General features: G+C 62.9%; 1 protein-coding gene and 1 long non-coding RNA gene across 13 annotated transcripts, besides 7 other annotated features; one reads left to right on the top strand and one right to left on the bottom strand.

The window, feature by feature from the left end:
• Positions 1-4438: 4438 nt before the first annotated feature.
• On the bottom strand, positions 4439-24405 carry RHPN1 (rhophilin Rho GTPase binding protein 1). Of its 12 annotated transcripts, none has more exons than XM_005250772.4 (16): positions 19613-19784; positions 14367-14525; positions 12992-13107; positions 12007-12135; positions 11205-11280; positions 10314-10391; positions 9840-9964; positions 9582-9748; positions 9152-9345; positions 8675-8831; positions 8485-8598; positions 7877-8071; positions 7316-7392; positions 6942-7088; positions 6692-6853; positions 4439-6224 (listed from the first exon to the last, which is right to left on the bottom strand). In XM_005250772.4, exons 1-16 carry the CDS (start codon positions 19670-19672, stop codon positions 6009-6011), a joined length of 2172 nt encoding a protein of 723 aa, XP_005250829.1. In that variant the 5' UTR covers positions 19673-19784; the 3' UTR covers positions 4439-6008. The 12 variants fall into 12 exon arrangements, with proteins under 12 accessions (XP_005250829.1, XP_005250830.1, XP_047277271.1 ...); XM_005250773.4 differs by having other exon boundaries at positions 8485-8595; XM_047421315.1 differs by lacking the exon at positions 19613-19784 and adding an exon at positions 17954-18835.
• Positions 5121-5220: an enhancer, noted in NCBI's record as "active region_28070". NCBI's record gives its function as "activates an Ori minimal core promoter by ATAC-STARR-seq in GM12878 lymphoblastoid cells {active_cell/tissue: GM12878}" and the evidence as "EXISTENCE:reporter gene assay evidence [ECO:0000049][PMID:35858748]".
• Positions 17716-18622: an enhancer, noted in NCBI's record as "H3K4me1 hESC enhancer chr8:144452208-144453114 (GRCh37/hg19 assembly coordinates)". NCBI's record gives its function as "activates a minimal SCP1, AML or CMV promoter by ChIP-STARR-seq in primed H9 embryonic stem cells {active_cell/tissue: H9 hESC(primed)}" and the evidence as "EXISTENCE:reporter gene assay evidence [ECO:0000049][PMID:30033119]".
• Positions 18623-19530: an enhancer, noted in NCBI's record as "H3K4me1 hESC enhancer chr8:144451300-144452207 (GRCh37/hg19 assembly coordinates)". NCBI's record gives its function as "activates a minimal SCP1, AML or CMV promoter by ChIP-STARR-seq in naive and primed H9 embryonic stem cells {active_cell/tissue: H9 hESC(naive and primed)}" and the evidence as "EXISTENCE:reporter gene assay evidence [ECO:0000049][PMID:30033119]".
• Positions 19318-19367: a silencer, noted in NCBI's record as "silent region_19619". NCBI's record gives its function as "represses an Ori minimal core promoter by ATAC-STARR-seq in GM12878 lymphoblastoid cells {active_cell/tissue: GM12878}" and the evidence as "EXISTENCE:reporter gene assay evidence [ECO:0000049][PMID:35858748]".
• Positions 19568-20027: a silencer, noted in NCBI's record as "silent region_19618". NCBI's record gives its function as "represses an Ori minimal core promoter by ATAC-STARR-seq in GM12878 lymphoblastoid cells {active_cell/tissue: GM12878}" and the evidence as "EXISTENCE:reporter gene assay evidence [ECO:0000049][PMID:35858748]".
• On the top strand, positions 20025-22037 carry RHPN1-AS1 (RHPN1 antisense RNA 1). Its single transcript, NR_026785.1, has one exon. It is a non-coding gene; the product is annotated as an RHPN1 antisense RNA 1 (long non-coding RNA).
• Positions 20038-20107: a silencer, noted in NCBI's record as "silent region_19617". NCBI's record gives its function as "represses an Ori minimal core promoter by ATAC-STARR-seq in GM12878 lymphoblastoid cells {active_cell/tissue: GM12878}" and the evidence as "EXISTENCE:reporter gene assay evidence [ECO:0000049][PMID:35858748]".
• Positions 20271-20826: an enhancer, noted in NCBI's record as "H3K4me1 hESC enhancer chr8:144450004-144450559 (GRCh37/hg19 assembly coordinates)". NCBI's record gives its function as "activates a minimal SCP1, AML or CMV promoter by ChIP-STARR-seq in naive H9 embryonic stem cells {active_cell/tissue: H9 hESC(naive)}" and the evidence as "EXISTENCE:reporter gene assay evidence [ECO:0000049][PMID:30033119]".
• Positions 24406-24538: the final 133 nt, after the last annotated feature.

Here is a 24538-nt window from a genome sequence, read left to right as displayed (position 1 = left end):
GACACCCAGGCTGAGACATCCCCTGGCGCCCCCCACACCCCGCCCAGCACCCTCATAAGCCGTGCTCTGGGGTGATGCCCCCTGGTCCTTGGGTGCAGGCGCCAGTAGCACCCACCAGGCATCGGCGCAGCGCCCCAGGCAGTACCCTCTTGGGGCAGCCCCCCATAGGGGCCCAGGTCCCCTTCCACAGGCGGCCTGCCCTCCCATGCCAGCCCTGCTTGGCCCGCACTCCTTCCACACCATGCTCGCCTGGAGGTGCAGCGGGAACCAGGCCTCTCACACCTCCCCGAGCTTCCTCTGCCCTGAGATGCAATCTCAGCCTCCAGATGGTCAGCCCCGCAGAGCCAGGCCTGTCTTCACCGCTGACAGCCCAGAGCCCAGCATGGCAGAGAGAGTTTCCAGCGGCTCTCCTGAGCTGAACCTAGGTCAGCCTGCCATGCGTCTCCCAGCTGGTGACCTGCTCACCCCCGACCTTGGCTGCATCTCCCCCACCACTGGCTTCTACTCCCTCCCCCAACTGCTCACTGGGAGTTGTGGGCAGAACAGAGATGTGGTCAAGACTGGGCCTGGTCCTCAGGGAGCACCGGGGACCTTGTCAAGGCCCTGAATCTGCAAGGCTCCCTTAGCAGCTCCGTCTGCAGATGAAGAGCCTGGGGCCCCCGTGACAAGCTCTTAGGCGTTATCTTCTGACTTCCAGGCGCACCTCATGTGTCATAATGATCACTGGGATGTGCAGGACATAAGAAGCGCACACAGAGAGGGGCCAGGGCTCCAGGGGGCTCCTGGGAGGCAAGTGTCCAGCAGCAGGTGCTCAGTCATCGCCGATGGGCAATGAGTGGCCATGAGGACAAACAGGAAGGCAGAAGGGTGGCACTGCAGCCTCCACCGCCCACCCTTCCCTGGAGAAGTGGGTGCCCCTTCCTCCTGCTGACTTGGAGAGGTCGTCACCCCCGCTGCAGATCCCCAGCCCGTCCCACCTTGCTCTCTGGAGCCAAGAAAAAAACAGTGGAGGCCGGGCACGGAGGCTGGGCTCGGAGGATGGGCGTGGTGGCTCACACCTGTCATGCCAGCACTTTGGCAGGCCAAGGCGGGAGGATAGCTTGAGTCCAGGAGTTCAAGACCAGCCTGGGCAACATGGTGAAATGTCTCTACAAAAATACAAAAATTAGCTGCGTGTGGTGGCGGGCACCTGTAGTTCCAGCTACTTGGGAGGCTGAGGTGGGAGGACTGCTTGAGCCCAGGAGGCAGAGGGTGCAGTGAACCGAGATCGCGCCACTACAGTCCGGTCTGGGTGTCAGAGCAAGACTCCATCTAAAAAAACAAAACAACAAAAACGTGGGGACCAGGCAGAGAAGCTAATGCACTGAACGCCATGGTGGGGGTGAGGGGACCACCGCCATGGGGCAGCTGCCGAGAGGAGTGAGCTGGAGGTGAGGGCAGCAGTGATGGGGGAACTGATATCACTGGTGACGGCCTCATGGGGACCAGAGATTGGTGTGGGGAGGCTGGGGTATGTGCTGTCCACTCTATGACAGGGGCAGGCGACGTGATGTCAGCAGTGGGTGGGGACAGTGATGTGCCATGTGACCTCGGGTTGGGGAGAGTGGTGGGGGGTGTGACATCAGGAGTTGGGGGGGAATGGTGGTGTGTATGTGACCTCGGGGGTGGTGGAAGGGGACGGTGGTTGGGCTGTGACCCTGGTGATGGTGGGGAGGGTAGTGGGGTTGTGGCTTTGGAGTCCCATCTCTTCCTCTCACATCGGGAGGGTTACAGTGGCCACAGGCAGGCCTCCAGTGCCCTGGAGGTGGCTAAGGATGTGGCCAAGGACATGGCCACAGGCTGTCAGCCTCTCTCCTTATGCTGAGAAGCTGAGGCTAAACTCAGCCCTCTAAGCTTGTCTGCTACCGAGGCCTGACCTGGCCCCTGCCACCTCTCAGGTGGACAGCAGCACCACCTAGGTGACCCAGAGCTCCCAGTGCCACCTCCGCCACCCTGGCTTGAGGCCTCACTGGGTCTAGGCCCCATGCCCTCTTCTCCTCAGGGCCCCTCCCGGCTGCCCACTCGGCACCCCCGTCCTGGGGGGTCTGAAGCCCGTGGAGCCGGTTTCTATCTGGAGCTTTGCGGAGCGCCCCCAGTCCCCGCCTTCCGCTGCCTCCCCTCCAGGATCAACCCCTGGGCACTCTGGACCTCCATGCCATGTCTGCAGATGGTCCGCGGTGCTGTCTGCGCATGAGGACAGCTGTAGCCTTGCCAGCCCACCGGCCACTGTGGCCCACCTCGCACAGGCACAGATCCTGACCATGGCCGTTGGGAACAGGGAAAACATAGTGCTCTGGGGACTGTGGGAGGGTGCGGTGGGAGGGGGGTGCTGGACAGGGCCTGACCCCCAACACCTGCAGGCAGTCTGCATTCACTCATTTTCCAGAACTGCTGGCTTGAGGCGGCGGGAGAGGCTGGGAGGGGGTGAGGAGGAGAGTGAAGTGGGCGACCCTGCCCTTGGCTCACCTCGGTCTATCCCCAGTCCCCACAACCCATCCATCCTCGTGCCCCGCAATCCATCCCCAACCTCACTCCCAGCCCTGTCCATCCCCAGGCTCCCGCCCCCACCCCTCCCCACTCCCTCTCCCTGTGTTAATCCCGCTCACTGCTGACCCAAGCAAAACAGAGTCCGCCTTCTCCCTTCTCGGCAGTTTTCTGTTGGCAAAGCAGAAAGGACGGCAGCGCAGGCTCAGCCCAGCCTCCTGCCTGGGGACCACTCTGAAAATGGAGCATCACCCCGTGGGCCCCAAGCCTGGGCAGGGTGCACACACGGTCTCGGTGTGCCATCGGCCCCTGCGCTGCTCGACATCCGTCGTGAGCCCTGGCTCCGCGTGGGCATGGGGAGTAGGTCGGGACCATACTGTGGCCGCAGCAGCTCCTGGGTGCCGGCCCCTCCCTCCCAGGCAACATATGCCCCACACATCCAGGCACTCACGGACATGCCGGTGCCATCCCTGCCCTCGGCCCATCTGTGACACAGTGCCCAAAGTGATAAGGCTGGCCCAGAAAGTGGGGGCTAAGGCCCATGCATGGGGTGTGTCCAGGCCGGGCCATCTGAGGAAGGGACACTAACCCGTCCCTAAAAGCCAAAAAGGTGCTAGCCAGAAACGCCCAGGAGTGCGCAAGCAGGACTTCAAGGGAAGAGAACGGGCTCCACTGAGGCCGCGGTGTGGCGCTGCGGGGGGGGCAGGCAAGCACCAACACGTGCTGCTGCAGGGACAGCCTTGAGCCGGCCCCTCGGGGCAGCTGTGCCCCCCGGGAAGCCTCACCCAGTGGCTCTCACCGCACAGCCTGCGGACCGAGCGCTCCCCAGCGGCCAGCCCTGCCTTCCCCCAGCCTCGCAGCCTCGCCCTGATCCTGCTTTGCTCCCTAGCCTGGGCAGATGGGACAGGACCCTGAGCTGCCGCCTCCTGTGTGCTGGCCCCAGGGGCTGCACTGCCCTCTGGCGGGGCACAGGCCACAGCTGGCCCCGGGGGTGAAACTGCAGGTCCTGCCAGGCCAGGCATCACACCCTTGACCAGTCCCTGAGGAGCCATGGTGATGCCCCCCCACTCTGCCCACCGCTGCCGACTCTGCTGCCTGTGTGGACTTGGAGTCCCGTGGGTGGGCTGGACAGGGCAGTCCCCTGTTCAGCAGGCCCCTGCGCCGGGCAGGCAGCCACCAGCTACTGCAGGGATGAGGATGGGATGGGGCGCGGTCCCTTCCCGCAGCCCAGGGGCTGTCTGGCAGGACTCCCACAGATGCCGGAGGGGCATGGTCCAAGTCTGAGGGGCTGGGCTGGTAGGCATCCGCTTTCTCTTCTGGAGAGCAGCCCCAAGTGGAAGGTGGGGAGGGGGACCCCCCTCCTGCCCAGCCCTGCCTTGACTAGAACTCTGGACCCCAGATCCCAGGACCTCCGCCCCCCTCCCCCTGGCTGGCAGCAGGACCTCAGGGCCCCCCACATCGCCACAGCACCCCTGTGCACCAGGCTTCCTCCACTTCACAGGACGGAGGCGGTGACGGGAGCCAGGTCCCAGCCACGTGTGGCTTCAGCTGTGAGGCCCCCCCTCTGTGGCAGAGGGACACGACGGCGGGGGGGGGGGCAGCAGGGGAGGAGATGGCCTGGGGCAGAGGGCAGGGCCAGGAGCACAGGCCCAGGCTTGGTGGCAGCCAGGGGAGAGGCATGTGTGGGCAGGGGTGGGACGGGTTGGGCGCACCCCAGGGGTCTGCGGTGGGGAGAGGCGTGCTCTCTGGGCAAAAGCCCCCTCCCCCAGGCTATGGTGGCCTGGCGCCCACCATGCAGGAGGCAGGTGGCAGCTCTGTCCCCAGCTTGGGTCTCGACAGGCCACAGGAGGTGGGGAGTCCCTGCACTTCCCAGACAGGGCTGCCACCCTGTCATCCCCAGTTAGTGCCTACTGGCCTCCTTGATCCACAGTTTTATTAACCAAATTAACACGTGCTGGGGAGACCTGCGTGACCTTGGCCCATTCTGCTGAGACAGGGATTTTCCCACAAGGGCAAGTGGGGGACCTGGACCCCCACCCCGGCTCAGGCAGGTTGGGGAGCCCTGCCCTCCTGCCCAGGAAGATCGCGCCGCGGCGCCTGCGTCTCTGGGACCCCAAACACCCTACTTGCACCCCCATTTTCTTGGCTGAAGCACGAGGGAGGTGGCAGCGCAGGGCCCTGGACCCTGGAACCAGAGCCTGGGATGCAGGGCAGGCTGCTCTCACCTGCGGACCCTCGGAAGGGACTGGACAAGAGGGCAGGGGTCTCGCAGAGCTGGGGGCCGCCTTTCTACCCGGGGTCTTTGCCTCAGCCCTCCCAAGGCGCACCTGCCCGTGCCGCCTCCCAGGGCTGCTGAGCGGGTGGCGGCTGCCCCCTAGTGGCTGCAGGGAATGACTCCCGCTGGCCCTGTCTCTTCCGGAACCTGCCAGGCCCTGGGGCCCTCGGTGGGGGCCTCCGCTCCGGCTCCGGCTCCGTGGCTCCTCTTGGGTGCAGCCCTGACTCTGCAGCCCTTCCCACCCTCTCCTCTTGGTGCCCAAGTCCTGAGCCCACTGCTGTAGGGGTCCTGGAGGTGGTGTTCTTGCCGACGGCCTTTGGGGGCCATTGTCCACCCAGTACACGGAGGCCTGGAGGCAGCCCTCACTTCCCCTGCTTGAGACACTGACAGCTCACGGCCTGTGGAGGCCAGCAGGAGCGGCCCAAGCAGGCTGGGGAGGGCTGGGGGCCCATGCAGGCCCCAGGCTCAGAGAGAAGTGACACGCCCAGGAGCTGGAGGGTGGCACCCATGCTCAGAGCAGGACAGCAAGGCGGGCAGCAGGGCTGGCAGGCTTAGGGCCACCATGAGACCTGGGCCACGACACCAGGGACTCCTGGGCAAACGGGACACTTGCTGGGTTGACCAGCACAGAGCCCATGATGACCAGCACAGGGCGCAGAGGTGGGGAGTCCCTTGCTCTGTGCACAGACAGGACAGCAGGAAGTATTTTGGGGGAAGGCCATGTCTGGGACCCGGCCTAGAGGTCTGCGGGTGCTGTGGGTGTGTCTGGCTGCTGCATGGTGGAGGGGCAGTGAGCGAAGGGGTGCCCAGCAGGAATCACTGGGCACCAGGCAGAAACTTGGCTGGAGGCAGGACTGAGACCTCAGGGTCTGTGCCCAGGGCAGCAGCAGGGTGGACAGAGCCCGGGGGTACAGATGGGATGGCTGTGAGGAGCACCCTGTAAGGAGCCCTCAGGGTGGGGCAGCCCCAGGAAGCTGACCTCAGACCGACAGAGGGACTGGCATCCTTCTGTGTGTGGGTGAAGAGGCCACAGCTCCCATCACTGGGCTCAGACAGGTCTGACCAGTCTTTAATGGGCAGGCAGGTGCCCGAGGCAGCCTCCAGCATGAGGCGGGACAGGCATTGCCCGGAGGTCCTCTGGGTGGGGAGGGCATGCTCGGTGCTTGCTGCCAGCTGGAGCCAGGGCTGAGGCGTGCAGGGATCCTGGCCCTCACGGCCACCCTGGGTGCTTCAAGGATGAGGGCGGAGCTGGCTTCACTGGGGCACAGGGCTGGGGGCAGCCTCCAGTCTTGCCCTGCTGGGCCTTTCGGCTCCAGTTGAGGAGGGGCCGGGGACTGGCCCACGTGGATGCCGGGGTCTTGCAACCATGCTCCCTCTGGCTCCTTAGAAGCCCCCTGGGGCCCAGCAGGACGGGCCGGCGGTCCCCCTGCAGCAGGGACAGAGACAGACTGTGGTCAGCCACTGCTGGCCTGTCCCCACCTGCAGCCAGTCTGGGAGGGGTGAGAACCACCTGGGAGGGGCTGGCACGTCGGGGGCTTGTTTGGGGGCTCCCATCAGGGTGGCCACATAGCAGGGGCCCATGGGTTTCACCCAACCCTGGGTCAGCCATGCTGGGTAGAGAAAACCTCTGGGATGGAGCGCCTGGCCCAGAAGCCTCCAGTCTGAGGATACAGAGGCCCAGTGAGGGGTGGGCTGCAGCATCCTCGGGGTCAGGGCAAGAGCTGCCAGATGGAGGCCACAGCACAGGTGGCCCCTGCCCAGGAGGCGGCCCAGGGAGGGTTACCTGCAGCCCCACCTCCCCTTCCCAATGTTGCTCAAGCATCCAAGGCAGGCCCAGGGCCAGGGTGGTGACAGCAAGCTGGGGACCGCCCCTCTGGGGCCCCAGGGGCTCACCAAGCTGGGCAGTCTAGAGCTGGGCAGCAGCGACACCACCTGCAGGCTGGCGCCCGCCTCTCCCGCAGCCTTCAGCTCCGTCACCACCTCCGCGTGTCTCCACCACCTGCATGGCTGCCCATTCACTGACACAATGTAGTCGCCCTCCTTCAGGCCAGCCGCCTGTGGGGAGACTTGGACGGTGAGGTGGGGACAGGACACCCTGGCTGGCACCAAGGACTCAGCCTCAGGGGGCCGGCGGGGCCCTTACCGCGGCCTGGCTCCCTGGAATGACGGCAGCGATGAGGACAGGCGAGTCTCCCCGAAGCGTGAGGCCAAAGCCGCCCTCTCCTCGGGTCAGGTGGACGGGCCCCACCAGCCGCCACCGGTTCTTGGCTGAGAACACAGACAGGGGCCCCTGGCAGGGGCTCAGAGGTCAGAGGCCCAGCTGGGCCACACACTGAGGAGACCCCGCCTGACTAGCACATCCATCCAACCTGTGCACCGAGGGACACCGTGGGGTTCCACAAGGTGGGTGGGGAGGGCTGGACCACCATCAATGGCCTGTCTGAGGCCATGTGCTGGTCAGAGCCACACAGCCCAAGCTGCCCATGCTGGGCGGTGCCTGGGGACGGGTGTGCTCACCAGCCGATGGAAGATGTCAGGCCCCTTCCCCTGGGACAGGCGTGGCATCCTGGCCTCTGGCTTCTGGTGGGTCTTAGCTGAGAGGGTGTAAGAGCAGAGCTAAGCTGGGAGACTGTGGAGACCTGCCTCGGGGATTTTCCAGGGCGCAGGGCATGACCCTGAGTGCACACAGGCCCCGCTTCTGACCTCCAGGCCTGGCCACTCTGCAATGGTGGGAGGAGCTGCCCCAGGTGTGCCCTGAACACACGGCCCCCTCTGCCCCAAGTGGCTCCCAAAATCCCTCCCTGAAGTCCCAGCCATGCCTGTCCTGGGTCTGTGGGCTTCCCCTCAGGGTAGGAGGCCAGTGCAGGGAGGGAGGTGCTGAGGAGCGTGGTCATCCCCCAGGCCCCTGAAGGGCCCAGCAGCTCTGTGGGTCCCTGTGATCGTGGCCTGGAAAGTGCTACTGCTGTTTAATTCATCGTGGTGACTGCATCTTTAATGCAATCAGCCTCCCTTTCTCCAGGACGAAGGCCCCCACCCTGGCCAGGGATGCAGCCACCCAGACAGGCCCTGGCTGCTCACGCTGGATGTCCGGGGCCTCGGCAGCCTCACAGAAGTCATCCTCACGGTCGAGCTCCGCATACTTGGCCAGTGAGCGCTGCAGCGTCTGGGAGATCACAGCCCGAAGCAGGTCCACCTCGCGCAGGACGCGGCACAGGGCGTGCAGCCGCAGCGCCTCCTCCTGCCCCAGGATGGCACGCTTCAGGTGTGCCTTGCCTGCACGCGGGGCACTGGGATGTCACACACCATGTGGGCCCGTGGGCCCTGGGACGTGGCAGAAGGAGTGGGCAACGCCAGGGCTGTGGGGCTCATCACAGCCACTTTCGTTGGGGGTGCGCGCCACGGGGGTGAGGAGCTGGCTGTGCAGGAGGGCTCTGCCACGTGCAAAGCAGGGGCCAGGGATGAGCTGCTCCCAGTGGTCTCCCACCTGCTCAGAGGCTGCCCAGCACTCCTGGGGCCCCTGCGCTGGGCCGTCACCCATCAGGCACAGGCCATCCAGGGATAGGTAGGTGGCCCAACTCGTCAGCACGGGGACAGCAGGTGGCAAACAGCATGAGGGTGGTGGGGGACACCCTGCCACCGTTGGTGACCATCTGAGCCCCAGGGCACTCCACCCATGGGCGCCTTACCAAGCTGCCTGCGCTCCTCCAGCTCCTGCGGCAGCACAGGGCCTCGGGGCTTAGAGGAGGTGGGGGGCTGCAGGAAGACCTGCTCGTGCGTGGGGAGCTCTCCCTCGGTCGCTGCTGGGGGACAGAGAGGCTGTGAGCCCTGCGCGGGGGGGCCTTGGCAGTACCATGGGCAAGTGTGGTGGGCACTCACGGGAGCCGTCGCAGAGGGCCATGGCTACGTGGTAGTGGGCCAGGGAGCGGAAGTACTCGGCCTTGACATGCACCAGGGCAGTCCAGGAGACAGGCACGTAGTCGTGGACGGGTGGCTGGGCCATGGTCCGGTGCACTAGCCTGTACTCGGCTGCCACCTGCCGGTGGATGTGGCAGGCACGCGAGGGCCTCCCACTCTCCAGGTGGTGCCTGCTTCTCCCTACCCAGCCTCCACCTGCTCCGACCACCATCCCAGCAGCCTCCCTGGCACCTCAGTTCCTGCTGCTTTGTGCCATCCCCTGGAGGCAGAGGCTCGGGTCCCCAGGTTCCTGACCAGCCCCCCCAGGGAGCAGGACAACAGCTGGCTCGGGGCTGACACACAAGGAAGGAGGTGGGAGAGCTCACGCATGCCTGGACCTGGGCTCTGACCCCAGCTCGGCCCCACCCCCTGCATCCTGACACGGGTGCCCGAGCTCACCTGGGCGGCCTCCTGCGCCAGGCGCAGCTGGGCCAGGCAGTCTTGGGGGGCCATGGAGGCAGGTGGTGAGAGGCCCTCAAACACACATTCCTGGGCCTGGGCCATCATGAGCTGCTCCAGTGCGCAGAGGGACGCAGCGCTCATGTCTGGGCTCGGCGCATGGGAGAAGTTCTCCCTCAGGAGGCTGAAGGCCCCTGCGGAGGGAGGGGTGCTCACACAGGCAGGGCCCTGTACCTGCCCATCTCTGCCCCATGCAGCACTCAGGGCGGCCAGCTAGGGATGCTCCTGGGACACATATGGACCTGATGTGCTCACTCCCCCTACCTGAGGGACTGATGTCCTAACCACTCCCCAGCTCCTGCCCTGCAAAAGGGGCTCTGCAACACCCTGGCACCGCGCCGTGCCCCACCGCGGCCCGGGCCGCCCTCACCAGCGGCCCTCTGGAAGGCCTCCATAGCGCGGCGGGCACCCTCGGTGCAGGAGCGGTCCTGGCGCGCCCCAATCTGCGTGTGGAGGGCACCGATGTTGAAGAGAACGCTGCCCTTCTCGAAGGCCAGGGCACGCTGCTGGGCCGGGACCCCAGTAAGCGAGTCGTACCTGCAGTGTTGGGTCAGGCTGGGTGGAGTTCCCACGGTTCCCGCAGCTGGGCCTCCCCTCCCCAGGGTGCCTCCGCCCGCAGAGCCCCTACCAGTGGAAGAAGAGCCCGAGGCTCCTGGCAGGGGTGAGGAAGCGCGCATCCAGGAAGCACAGCTGGTTGTAATAGGCTGTGAGCAGCTCCAGGCCCGACTCATTCCGGCTGGGGGTCCGCATGGCCTGCAGGGCAGGAGCCACTGGGCCCCACCGCCCTGGCCCACCCCACTCACACACACTGCCCTGGGAAGTCCCATGGGCACCAGCACCATGGGGGGCGGGGAGGCAAAGCCAGTGGGGCCCTGGGCAGCCGTGACTCCCGAAGGCCAGCAGCATGCGGCACCGGAGCCACCTGGGAGCCCCTCCACGCCCCCTGGCTGGGTCTGGACACACAGGGCCCCTGGTGCGCCCGTCTCCCCACGTCCTCGAGATGTCTACGCTGAGCTCCTCTGTCTGTTCCTGACTTCAGCTTCAGCCTCCGCATGTGTCTCCCAGGGCTGCAGGAGGGTGGGTGGGCGGGGGAACCACACACCTGCCGCAGGGCCTCCAGCTCCCTGATTTCTGCCTCGTAGGAGGCGCCGTCCTCTCCAAAGTGCACTGAGATCAGCTCCTGATGGGGGGCAGGTGTTGGCATCCACAGTACCCCTGTGCCTGGCCTCCTTCCCTGAGGTCTCCCAACCCACCTTGGGAAAAGACTCATGGTGGAGGGAGGGTCTGTGCCGCAGAGCAGGCTGGCTGCCATGCAGCGTGGGGGCCCTGGGCCCCTCAGTGGAAGCCCCAGAGAAGGGCTGGGGGCCAATGTGTATGGAGGGGCCTGGTGGGTTGATGCGGGTCGGAGCCCCTGTGGCCCTGGGGTTTCCCCACCCCATCACAGAAGCGGGGCCTGGAGACTCAGCGCTACTTTTACGTGCGTTTCCTTATTCATCCCCGTGGCCGGGAGGCAGGTGCCATCTGCCACTCAGTGACTCGGACACGGAACACAGTCAGTGGCTCCCGTGGGGCCCTGCCAGGCAGTGCCAGTCTGTTCTAGCTCTCCCCAGGACCCTCGTGAGCCAGTGCTGGGTGTGTGGCCCCAAGCCAGTGGTGCCCTCCATGGGCGAGCCTGTACCCTGTGCTCCGGCTGGGGCTTCCAGGCCCCATCCTCCTAGGGCATTGCCCATCCGAGGGTAGGGCACATGTTCACACCCACTCTATGGGATCAGCCCCGGCCTGGGGCGCAGGCACCAGCGGGGCCCTGAACGCAGCAGAGGCTGGGTCCCTGTGGCCATTTCTGCCAGGTCCCTTGCGTCCCTTTTAAGCCTCCCTCCCTCTGGGCCTCAGTTTCCCTATCTGTTCAACCAGACAGCTGGACCAGAAAGCCTCCAAGACCCCCTTGGTCCCAGGGCAGGGCCGTGTATCTCAGAGCTTGGAGGCCAGTACCTACCTTCAGCGGTGTAGACCAGTCCAGCTCCTTGGTCTCCTTCAGGCCCAGGGGGATCATGGGGACAGTGACAGCTTCGCTGTAACCAGAAGCATCGACTTCAGACTGTAAGGCCAAACCCTGCTGCCCACGGCAGCCCGGGGTCCACTCCTAGGGCTCTGTGGCACAGGGTGCCTCCCTCCCTCATGGGTGTGCACGTGCGCCTGTGTCCTGGGGGGCATCCTTGCACCTGTGCACCACCCCCCACCGTCCTAAACCGCCCCAAAAGCAAACACACACACACAGAGACACACACATGCGCGCGCACACACACACACAAACACATGCGTGCATACACATGCAGACACACATGCGCACGCACACACATATATGCACACACGTGCAGACACACACACGCGCACACACAGACACACACAGACACACGTGCATACACGCACACATAGAGGCAAACACACACCCACATACACGCAGACATGCACACGCACGCAGACACGTGCACACAGACACACGCACAGAGATGCACACACAGACACATGCAGACACACAGACACACGCGCACACAGACGCATGCACACACATGCACACACATATACACACAGAGACACACGCACACACACAGAGATGCACAGACACATGCACACAGACACACGCGCACAGACATGCATGCACACACATGCACACACGCACACACACAGACAATGCACACATATACACACAGAGACACACATGCGTGCACACACATGCACACACACACGCACACGTGCACACACATACACGCACGTGCTGTCCCGGCCCCCACCCGCACCTCCCATGCCGGCCAGGGTCCACGCCACCGCTGAGCTCCTCCAGCTCCTCCTTCAGCAGCTGCAGGTTGGAGTTGACGTAGCTCAGCTCCAGGGCGACCGTCTCTCTCACCCGGTTGTTGCTGGTGGCTCTGAGGGAGGCCGCGGCAGTTGAAAGCCCAGCCCCAAGGCAGAGCCAAAGGCCCCGTGCCCACTGCAGCCGTCCTGCCAGCTGACCTGTCAAAGCTCCAAGCCCACCCTGCAGAGGACGTCGCTGACAGGGTCTGCCCCCCATGGGTGGGGCAGGGGCAGCAGTGGGATCCGGGGGCTCACAGGTGATGCCCCCTACAGTTCATCACCCCGACCCCAGCACCTGCATGTTCCGACTCTGGCCTGGGGGCACCTCCCTCAGCACCACGGCTTTCTTTGGGGCTCATACAGCCCTCGACAGCACTCAAACATCACTCCTTGGATGGTGGGTGAGAGCCACACACCTCTCTGTGCCTGCATCAGGGCCTGGCAAAGGGACCGGAGGTCCCCAGGGAAGGCCAGGATGGGGGCAGGGAGGTAGCAGGTGCTAAGGGGACCGAGGGGCACTCACACGCACATGTGTGGCACACAGGCGGTGTGCTCTAAGGAAGAGGCAGCCCAGGTCTTCCACCCCCTCCCAGGTCCCCAACCTTGGGACGCGCCATCACCTGCCACAGCTCAGCCTCAACCATGCCTCTTCTGAGAAGCCCCCACGTGCACTGTTGGGGCTTCCCAAGCTGCACACCCGGCAGGGACACTGGTTTCCTGGCACCTCCAGCCCAGCACAGAGGCCCACGGAGGCAGGTCTGTGAGGGTCATGGCTGAGCATCACGTGTACTACGTGCCCACCAGGACCCAGCTGCTCATGCACCTGTCTCTGTGACCCGGCCATGGGGCAGACATCTGCCTGCGTGGCTGTCCTGCCCCCCTCACCCAGGTGGGCCCTGCTCCCGGGGCCGGGCAGTCTCAAGCACTGACCTGTAGAGGTTCTCAGCGCCCGTCCGCATCTGCAGCTCCTTGTCAATCTGCTGGTGAATCTGGGCCCTGCGGCTCTGCAGCTGGCCGCACTGGATCTGCGTCAGGGAGTCACAGCCCTGCAGGGAGGCCACAGGCGATCACAGCCCGACCCCGTGGCGCCCGCACCAGGCTGCGCCTCGCCAGCCACTGAGAGGAGTGCATCCTGCCCATGGGTAACGGGATGGTCACCATGCGCTGGGGCTGGAGCTGGCCTCACAGGGAGGGGCTGGACAGAACTAGTGTGAACACAGGCCTGGCCAGAGCAGGACAGGAGGCAGTCAATGCAGAAGGACGTGGTCGGTGGGGTAAGCTGCTGACTCGTGATGGGGGTCAGCGGGGGAGGCTGGCACCTGCCAAGGACACCAGAAGCCAGGGTCTCACCAGGCAGCCTGGACAAGTAGGGGCTCCGGGAGCCCTGCAGGAGGCGGCCCACTGCTCCTCACAGCCTTCCTTCTGCGCTTCTGGATTTCATTCTGGATCCCCCCCTTGCCCCTCCCAATTTTTTTCCCATCCAACTCACCCACGCCTCCAAATCATTCCCATGTGGGTTTAGGCGTGGGCTCAAAGGACAGGGTCCCTGAGGCTCTGGGGGCGGCCACTGGCCCCCGATGGTTGGTGCAGAGGCTGCGGTCTGACTTTGGGAATGGTTCTCGAAGCGAACGCACACCCGTGCCCTCCCTATCCACAGAGAAATGACTCTGAGCCTTGCACCCAGACTGCAGCCCCGCGGCCCTGCCCAGCACCAGCCATGGCGAAAGAGTGGGGCGTGCCCAGCGGGGCCCCTTCTGGACTTTGATGGCTCCTGTGTCGTCAGTGGTGCCAGCGTGCTGGAGCTTACATTTCACTCTAGGGAGATCCAGTTTCATGCCTCAGCCCACCCCACCCTTGTGGTGTTGGGGTCCTGCCCACATGATCCTCACGTGTCCCTCCCTCTCACCATGGCCTCCCAACCCCCACTCTTCCCCGTGGCCATGTGGGAATGCCTGGGTCTCCACCCGGACAAGATTATTTGCAGCTACCTGTGGCTGTCCCCTGGGTGGGCTCCCAGGCGTGGGCTGGCTGGCTTGCCTCTCCAGCACCCACTCCTTCCATGCTTTGAGACCCACAGTGCTGCTCAGGGCTCACTGCTCAGGGACACTGACTCCCACCCAGCCCTGGGGCGAGCCTGGTCTGAGTCAGGCGTGGCCAACCTGGCCATTTCTGCCAGTCAGCAGCAAGACAAGGCCTCTGGTGGCTCCTGGGACTGCTTCCCGCCCTTGTCGGGAGACAGGACCTCTTCTTCCCCAGGACCTTGTGGCGTCTGAAGGTGAATCTTGCCACCATGAAACTGACCTACCACTGCATGAAGCTGCGGATTCATGGGGCCAACGTGCACACGCACTGGGTCTTCCCCTCTGTGGACCCGACACCCTCTCCACGCACACACGTCTCTCAGGCCTTCCCGTCTTCCCCGTAAAGAGCTCACACGTGTTTTCCTGGGTTTTCTCCTAGATATCTGGAGAGAGTTCTTTTTGCTAATGTGAACGAGATCTTTGTGTGCATTTTAATTAGTTTATTCCCATTATACAAGAAAGGTTTGATTTCCTAGACAGAAGGCCTGCTCGTCCAGCCCCCCAAAATCACAGCAGCCAGCTGAGCGGGTGACCATCTATTATGGGTGAATTGTGTCCCCACAAAAGACAGGTTCAAGTCCTGACTCCCAGTACCTGTGACTGCAATTTTTCTAGAAATAGGGTCTTTGCAGATATAATGAGTTAAGATGAGGCCACCCTGGAGTAGGGGGTCCTTAATCGCAGTGACAAGGGTCCTTATACGAGGTGGGGAATTTGAACACAGTCACATGGAGGTGGCCATGGGAAGGCAGAGACAGAGACTGGAGGATGAGGCACCGTCCCCTGGAACCCACGCCATCCCCCAAATCCCCGCCCCGTCCCCTGGAACCCGCGCCATCCCCAAACCCCCACACCGTCCCCTGGAACCCACACCATCCCCCAAATCCCCGCCCCGTCCCCTGGAACCCGCGCCATCCCCAAACCCCCACACCGTCCCCTGGAACCCACGCCATCCCCCAAATCCCCGCCCCGTCCCCTGGAACCCACACCATCCCCCAAGCCCCCGCCCCGTCCCCTGGAACCCGCGCCATCCCCAAACCCCCACACCGTCCCCTGGAACCCGCGCCATCCCCAAACCCCCACACCGTCCCCTGGAACCCACGCCATCCCCAAACCCCCACACCGTCCCCTGGAACCCACACCATCCCCCAAGCCCCCGCCCCGTCCCCTGGAACCCGCGCCATCCCCAAACCCCCACACCGTCCCCTGGAACCCACGCCATCCCCAAACCCCCACACCATCCCCTGGAACCCGCGCCATCCCCAAACCCCCACACCGTCCCCTGGAACCCACACCATCCCCCAAGCCCCCGCACCATCCCCTGGAACCCACGCCATCCCCCAAGCCCCTGCACCATCCCCTGGAACCCACGCCATCCCCAAACCCCCACACCGTCCCCTGGAACCCACACCATCCCCCAAGCCCCCGCACCGTCCCCTGGAACCCACGCCATCCCCAAACCCCCGCACCGTCCCCTGGAACCCACGCCATCCCCAAACCCCCACACCATCCCCTGGAACCCGCGCCATCCCCAAACCCCCACACCGTCCCCTGGAACCCGCGCCATCCCCAAACCCCCACACCGTCCCCTGGAACCCACACCATCCCCCAAGCCCCTGCACCATCCCCTGGAACCCACGCCATCCCCCAAACCCCCGCATTGTCCCCCAGACACCTGTGCCATCCCCCAAACCCCTGCGCCATCTGCTGGACACCCACGCCATCCCCCAGACACCTGTACCATCCCCCAAACCCCTGTACTGTCTGCTGGACACCCGCACCATCCCCTGGACACCCAGGCCGGCAGCCTCCTGCTGAGTGCTGGGGTGAGGGAGCCTGACGGAGGTCCCTGAACTGAAGATGAGTTGGCGCTTAGGGGCCGGAGGGAGGGACACAGGCGGCCGGAGGGATGGACACAGGCAGCTGGAGGGAGGGACACAGGCAGCCGGAAGGAGGGTGTGCCGGCCCAGGACCCTGGCCTCCCCCAGCCCAGCCCTGCCCCCGTGGACACCACCCAGCAGCGGACGGGCCGATGTGCACTTGGGAACCCTCACCCTGCTCCCGTTTCTCACTCCCGCCTCCTCCAGAAAAGAAATTCCCTCCAGAGCTGCTTCAGGGACTCGGGCTGGAGAGGCCCACAGGTGGGAGAGGGGCATGGGCGCCTCAGATCTGAGAAGCTCCCTGAACCTGAGGCCCGCCCACCCCCGCCTCCCATCCCTACCTTTCCCACCGGCGCTACCACCTCGAGGGCCTCTGCCCAGTACCTAGGAGACCCCCGTGCCACCCACCGCAGCTACACCCCCTCCCCGCAAAGGCCCCGCTGCAAGGCTCCAGCAGCTTTAAGGGCTCTGGCTGTGCGACGGGCATCAGACACCCAGCCAGGTCCCTGCTCCCCTCCTGGCCCCAGGAGAGCTGCGGGGAGCCTGGCCCCTTGGAGCCCCACAGGCACCTGCTGTGGGCCTGGTCCATTCCTCGGCCTCCCTACCCGCAGTGCTCCCTGCAGGCCAAGTGACTTCCCGGCCTACAGGCGGAGGAGCAGACCCGAGCCGGACCTTTGAGGCTGGGTAGACCTTGGAGGTGGGCGGCCCATGCCCCACTTTCCACACTGGGTTGAAGGTTGAGCCCAGTGGAAGGGGCATAGACACAGGCGTTCAGGCCCCTACTCCTGCTACAACCTCCCCACCCTCTGGAGACAAAGGTGACCTGGAGCTCCCCACCCCCACGTCCACGGTGCCCTGACACCCCACTGTGGCCATTTCCGCCTTGCATTAGGAAAGGACAGAGAGGCTGTGGTCTGTGGGGGTCCCGAGAGGCAGCCACACATGAAGGGCCTGGCCATGCCTCGATGGAGAGGGACGAAGAACAGAGAAACAGCCCCCCAACCCTGACACTGGGGCTCCTCTGCCCAGGAGGAAACAGTGTGGCCCTGGCCAGAGTGGGGCTGACCTGGGGACGGGCAAAAGGCAGAGATAGTTATCCCAGCCCAGGTCTGGGAACAGCAAAACATCAGAGCAGGGCCAGACCTCCACTCTCCCCCAGGATCCCCTGGCCCTGGGCCAGGCAGTCCCCAGGGAGAGGTCACCCACCTGGAGCAAACCAGCTTTTTCCCTTCAGAGCCCTGGCCCTGGGCACCCTGTATGCTGACAGCCACCCATCTCAGGTACCCCTCTCCTCTGCCCCCACTGAAGTCTCACCTGAATGCAAGAACTGGAAGCCCCAGGAGGGTGGAAGCCCAGCACCCACCTGACCCACCATCTCTGCCCCCCACTGATGAGGGAACAGAATTCAAAGGGCATTGCTGCACAGGTGTCTCCTGGGACACAGGGCTATAAGCAGCACGCACGCCAGAGGAATCATAGACTGGCCACTCACGGCAGGGACTCCCACTCTCTCTGATGCTCCCTGGGGTACCCAGGCACTGGTGCTTCCTGAGCACCCCTCTTCCTGGAGCCCAATCTACCTGGGCAGGGGCCTGGGAACCTGTAACCAGCACCCAGAGGGTGCTCCTGTCCAGCCAGGCTGGGGAACCTCAGGCTGACCCACTCGGCATGCTGGAGACCAGGTGAGGGGGGCACAGCCACCCTGCCCACCTGCTGCTCCAACGCTCTCCCTCTGCAGCCTGCTCCCCCTTCTCCCACTGGCCTCCCCAGGAAACCACAGAACCTTCTGCATACAGCCAGGCTGTATTCCTTGTGGTCCTCCCCCGGGAGCCCCTGCAGCCCCTGCGGGAGGGACGGCAGCTGGGTTGGCCACCCTGGGCCGTGCCAGGCTTCTCCCCTTCCCAGCTTGGCAGCCTTGGCCACTTACTCACCCTGTTCATCAGACGGGCTGAGGCCCAGGGCTTGGGAGGCACCAATGGCAGGACTCCAGCTGTAGCACTGGCCCTGGCACCAGGTAAGCGCTTGCTGGAAGCCTGCTCTCATCACGCCTGGGGCAAATACAAGTCACCCAGACCTGTCCACAGGGCCTCAGGCCCAGGTGTGGCCTCTAAGTGGATGAACGACCGACCCCTGACCCACTGAACTCTGAGCTTTAGGGCCAGTTTGGGGGCCAGCCTGATGGGGGTGGAACAGGCCTCACTCTAGCCCGGCAGCAGGCATCGGGGAAGACTTTCCAGATGGCAGGACAGCCTGAGTGGTGCGCGTGTGACACAGGGCCTGCCTCCGCCCCACTGCCACCTCCCACGGGCCCCTCCCCAGTACCCTGACTGTGGGGTCATTTCTGGACGCTGTGAGAGACACGGCAGCCTGGAAACAGCTTCTCCCCAACTTTCCAAGGTGGCAGCCCAGGGAGGGCCAGGACAGGGAGCCCAGGCACAGCCCCCAGCCTGAAAAGCGTCACCTCCGGAGCCCTCTGGGACATCTTGTTTGTACAGCCTCCCAAACATTCCACCCAAAACAACATGTGCCGTCCCAGGCCACCTGCAGGCATGGCCGCCCTGACAGAGCAAGTTCATAGGGGGCAGGCACAGGCTGCCTCTTTCCCTCCAGTGCCCAGGAGGTGCTGCAGCCTCTGGCACGCCTCGGGGTGGGCAAGAAGGGCGTCCTTGAGGGCTACGGTCAGCATCACCAGCCCAGTGACCTGAAGCCAAACCCTGGCTGATAGCACCGCCTCCTCCTCTAGGAGACCTAACCCCAAACACCAAAGCCGAGTAGAACCAGCCCAGGGACAACACAGTCTGACGTCCCAGAGGGGAGGAGGGCCGCGCGCTATCAAAGGCTCACCCGGGGCGAGGAGCAGGAGCAGCCCGCGGCTGAAAGCCCGTGGCGGGCGTGGGCGCCCAGGGCCTGGCAGGAGGACTGGGGCAGCCTCGAGCTGGTCCGCAGGGAACAAGCAGGCTCTGGGCTGCAGAGCAAGGCCCACAGACGTCCCCTCCTTCCCAGGCACAGACTCAGCAGGTCTCCACAGCCCTGCCCACCCCTCCCACTTGCCCAGTCAGCACCCCGGGTTAGGGACTTCAGAAGGGAAGGAGGTTTGGGAAGTGAGAAGAGGCCAGCCGGGAAGACCTCTCTCGGTTTCCCATACCCAGGAGGCTTCGCTGCCCGCTGCTACCAGTGCACCCAATGGGCATGCAGTTCCTGAGCGGATGCAGAGGGAGGACCGAACTAGGGAAGGAGGCTGTACAGGTGCCGGAAAGGAACACGATGGCGGGTGTGGGGAGGGCGCTCACAGAGCCCAGCCCCACATCCGCCCAGAAGGGGGACACGAGGAGGGCGTCCCCCCAACCCGCTTCAGCGGTGAGGATGATCCAGACTTTGGCTGTCCGCATTTCCCGGCTCACATGAGTGGCCTGGAAGCACCTCCACCGAGCTCAGAGGAGGAGGGACGCAGGCTCTGGCCTCAGTTTCCCTGCCTGCGTCCGGGCCGAATGAGACGTAGGAGGGGGGCGCCCGGAACGCGCCTCGAGGGGGGGCAGGAAAAGGCCGGGATTCCGGGCCCCTCCTCCCGCCGCCGCGCCAGTTCTGCGCACCTGCAGCCGCGGGCTCTCCTCGCCGGCGCCCGCGCCGTCCGGCCTCTCCTCCAGGATCATCGCCGCACCCGCTGCGCTGGGGGTCCCTCGGGGTCAGCCAGCCCGCCGCTCGCGCAGCGCTCCGCAGCCGGGCTAGGGCCGCCCGCACCACCTGGGCCGCGGGCTCCTGAGTGCCCGCGCCGGTCCCCGACTGTCCCTCCTGAGTGGGGGCGGCCCGCGGCGCGGCTGGGCGGGGCACGGGTCTGGCGTGCGAAGCTGGCCATTGCCCAATAGGCGGCAATGCCGCTTCGACGGACAGCTATATCAGCCAACCAGAGTTCCAGGAAGGCGGGCTCTGGACGGCCAGCTCCGCCCGCCCGCGGGACGGTAACCCCTGGCAACCGCGGCCGGAACGCCCGCGGCTGGCTGGCAGGTTGTACTGCGCATGCGCCGCGGCGGCCGCTGAGCGTGCGGGAGAAGTTCGGGAAACGGAGAAAAAAACTATACGGAACGTCCCAAGCTGAGAGTCAGGGCGGACCTGGACTCGGCGCGCCTAGCTCCTCGGCTCCCTTTGCGGGGACTCCAGGAGTCTGCCCGCTCGCGCCGTTTCGTCCTGTCACCCCGGCAACGGGACCCTCTAAGAGGCTTGTTCCAAAAATGTTCACAATGGGGTTTTTAAAAACGGTTTTGTTAGGGACAAGTGCTTGTGTGAGTCCTCCGACAATGCCTGCTTTCTTCTCTCTGCCCGCGGAGCGGAGGCTCCAGGCCTGGCCCCAGTCCGAGGCGCCTCTGTCGGTGTCGTCCTGCTTCCAAAACCGGCCTCCAGAACCCGCCTCCTTCCAGAACCTCCGTCCAGAACCCGCCTCCCTCCAGAACCTCCGTACAGAACCCACATCCTTCTAGCACCTGCCTCTGGAACCCACGTGCTTTCAGAACTACCTGTTTGTAGAACTTGTTTCCAGAACGAACCTGCTTTCCGAATCTCTTTACTTCCAGAGCTTGTTTCCTGGACTGACCTATTTTCAGAACCTACTTTCAAAACCAGCTTGCCTCCAGGACCACCTGCTTGGAGAACTGGCCTGCAGCCCCAGGACTGGACGACCTGAGACTGCACAGCTCCCTGCGGGGCTCACCCGGCTGTGTGTGTCCTTCCGGGCCTTCCATACTTCCCTAGGTGTCTGGTGACTCCGGAGCCCGCTCGGATTTCGTGTGGGTCTCGCCTCAGCTCAGAACACACCCTTTGAAGAGCAGGAAGGCCAGGGCACAGGCGGTAACCACGGCTCCTGGTCATCAAGTTCCTCTGAAGCCCAGGTCTTGTCCACGTTCACTGCCCCACCACAGGCCCAGCGGAGCCTTGGAGCTGAGCCCTGGGATCATTCTGGTGCCTGTGCTCCCGGCTCCGCAACAAGCACACAGGAGCCTGTCATCCCCAGATCTAAATCCTGAAGGCTAAGCTCCGTGGTCTGCCGCAGCCATCTGCAGCAGGCCCCTCCCAGCAACAGCCTTCTCATAAGGCCCCTGCCAGCCACGCGAAACCTCCTGGCTAGGGCCTGTCTTCCACTCCTGGCCTTTTGAGACAGGGCCTCACTCTGTTCCCCAGGCCGGAGTGCAGTGGTACGATCACAGCTCACTGCAGCCTCCACCTCCTGGGCTCATGTGATCCTCCCACCTCAGCCTCCTGAATAGCTGGGACTACAGGCTTGCACCACCACACCCGGCTAATTTTTGTATATTTTGTAGAGACAGGGTTTCGCCACATTGCCCAGGCCCAGGCTGGTCTCAAACTTCTGGGCTCAAGCAATTCATCTGCCTCAACCTCCCAAAAGTGCTGGATTACAGGGATGAGCCACCATACCCGGCTTTTTTTTTTCTTTCTCCTGGCCTTTTGGGGCCCTTGAAGTGTCTGCTCCCTGGGAGCCCTTCAGCTTGTCGTCCACTTGGTGGGTTCCCACCCGTCCTTCTCACTTCTGCCTGAATCACACAGGCTACATGAGACCTTCACCCACCCCCTTCGCCAGCAGCTCTGTGGTTCAAGTTTCCTCAAGGTTAGGGGCTCCTGGCCATCTTACCTGTGGGCCTGAGCATGGGCCGATGCTTCCAAAGTTCACACTGGGTGCACTTGTGTGGGGACTTCCATGTGAGTCATCTCCTTGCAGGCTGCCAAGGTCCTGTACAGCAGAGACCCAAACCCTCTTAGCAGTCTTCAGAGTCAGCTATGTGTACAGGAGGCATTACCATATCAGTGACTGTCAGCAAGCATGTGTGACTGAAATGGTATCCAGTTCTTACGTATTTGTTTTGCAGGCTTCTTGGTTCAGCAGACAGAGGCCATTGGGAAGTTAAGAGAGGCTCTCAAACTTTGAGGGTCATAAGACTTCCCCTCCCTGCAGGGTGCTGTTTCCTGAAGGAAAATATTCAATTACTATTTTCTTTATTTATTTATTGAGATGGAGTCTTGCTCTTGTCGCCCAGGCTGGAGTGTGTGCGTGTGCGTGTGTGCGTGTGCGTGTGTGTGCGTGCATATGTGCGTGTGTGCGTGTGTGTGTGTGTGTGTGTGTGTTGGAGGGGGGTGGTGCTGCCTTTTTCTTTGCATGCTTCTGTGTTACTGGATTTGGCACAGCAAGAATGTATCACTGCACTCAAAAAATTTAGAGTTTCCTTTTTGTTTTTTTAAATTATTTTAGATTTGGAGGTACATGTGTGGGTTTGTTACATGTGTATTGTGCACTTCTGAAGTTTAAAAATTTAGGGGGAAAAATGAAAGGATGGGAGGTGAGAAAGTAGAGGAGAATTTTGGTGTGACAGGCAGGGAACTGGACAGCGGCGGGAGGGGCACGGCAGTGAGCGCCGGGACCTTTTGCAGATGAGGTGATAATTGCTGATGGGGCTGCTTTATGCTCGTTTTCTCTTTTGTAATTTATAAAGAAAAAAAAATTGAGACAGGGTTTCGCCCTGTTGCCCAGGCTGGTCTTGAACTTCTGAGCTCCAGTGATCTGCCTGCCTTGGCCTCCCAAAGTGTTGGGATTATAGGTGTGAGCCACTGTGACTGGCCTTTTTTTTTTTTTTTGAGACAGGGTGGCTCTCTGTCGCCCAGGCTGGAGTGCAGTGGTGTGATCACAGCTCACTTCACTGCAGCCTCAACCTCCTAGGCTCAGGCAATCCTCCCACCTCGGTCTCCCAAGTAGCAGGGACCGCTTGCATGCGCCACCACATCCAGATAACTTTTGTATTTTTTGTAGAGATGGGGTCTCGCTATGTTGCCCAGGCTTGTCTCAAACTCTGGGCTCAAGCAATTGGCCCACCTTGGCCTCCCAAAGTGCTGGGATTACAGGTGTGAGCCGCTGTGCCTGGCCTGCTTTATGCTTTTATATGGACCAGTACTTTGCAAGTGTGAGCCTGGCAGACTCTTGCTGCAACCAGGAACATGCAGATTTTCCAGATGGGCAGGAACCTGGGCTCCTTTCTGAGCCTCCACATGTCCTGGGTGAAGACCTCAAGGTCTGGAGAGACTGACTGACTCACCCAAGGCCCAATGGCTGTGAGCGGGAAGCCAGGACTCCTCACAGCGCCAGCTTCTTCCATGCATGCCAGCCCATCTGCAGAGCCCGGTCAAGCTCAGGGGAACGCCACCACTGAACCAGAGAGGCAGCCAGGAGGAGGGGGTCTAGATAGAGAAATGTGGAAAAAGCAGCTGATTCCAGAAATTTCCTGCTTGGCCTGGATTAGGCCATGCTGGGGACTGGCTGCCCCTTGCCCAGTGGGTGCTGGGGCATTCAGGCTTGGGGTCTTTTAGGTCAGCCCTAAAAGTTGATGATTTGATGCTGATCGCTGGTACTTACTTCAGCTTTCCTTCTGGTTGGAAGCCTTAATTAGTGGAGGTTGCTGACACTGTTTATGCGCATCGGTATTTTTTTAGAATGTGGAGTGGAAGAGGTGGGCTTTGGGGGACTGGCTAAACCCCAAGAATTTAACTGGCCGTGTATTTTGGCCACTGTTGCGCCTGTTAAGATCTTGGAGTGTGGGTTTGCACCTGTATTTAGAGGTGCACAAACCCACACAAATTCAAGGATAAATAACTGCAAGGCCCGAAGAGAACACGCTCTCCCGCTGCACGCAGGCTGCTCAACTGTGATGAATGGAGTAACAGGTACCACAGGGCGAGCAGGACGCCTTCATCAATGGTGGTAATAGCCACCAATGCATCATCTGTGGAGGCAACAGGAGGGACGGCTGGGGCAGAATCAACAGAACGTGAAAATGAATTGTTTGTAAATACAATCAACAGTGTTATGTTCGTGAGAAAGCCATTCATCATTCAGAAACCACCTTTAGTAAAAGATGCACCTGGCTTCCCGGTGAGACGGGGCCATCAATCCCTCCCCAGTCACAGGGTCAGCTCGGGGCTGCCTAAACCCCCAGAGAACAGACACACATATTTATTCTTATTTGAAAATAAGAGTTGTTAAAAAAAAAAAAGAGCCACTGAGAACATTAGCTTGCCGGGAGCATGGTAGAAGGAGCCACATGGGGACAAAGAGAGCTCTTTAAAGCCCTCATCTTCTGGGTGCCCTGCCAGGCCCTGGTGGGGCCTCCGTAAGCAAGGAGCACCCAGCCTGCTCTGGGACCTTCCCGGGCTGTGTGTGCTTATGTCCCTCCCGGCCGCTGAGGGACCTTCCCAGGCTGTGGGTGCTCATGTCCCTCCTGGGTGCTGAGTGTGCTTAGGGAGGGAGGGAGGGAGACGCCCATGGTTGGCCTGCTGGCTTCTGGAGAACTGCACTTTTCTGGCAAATAAAAAGAAAAGGATATGGGGAAGGGGAACACATGATTGTCCTTGGAATGTGGCAGAGTGGCCTGCTGTGGACTTTCCTCTGGTTGCCAGTTTCATTCTTAGGACAGTGCCTTGGTGAGGGTGCCCCGGGCACAGCACACTGGGTTTCTGCAGTGGGC

Source organism: Homo sapiens, chromosome 8, assembly GCF_000001405.40.
Source record: "Homo sapiens chromosome 8, GRCh38.p14 Primary Assembly".
Classification (NCBI taxonomy): Eukaryota; Metazoa; Chordata; class Mammalia; order Primates; family Hominidae; genus Homo; species Homo sapiens.
The sequence above is the reverse complement of the archived record's forward strand: the minus strand, read 5'-3'. Positions and strand labels throughout refer to the sequence as shown.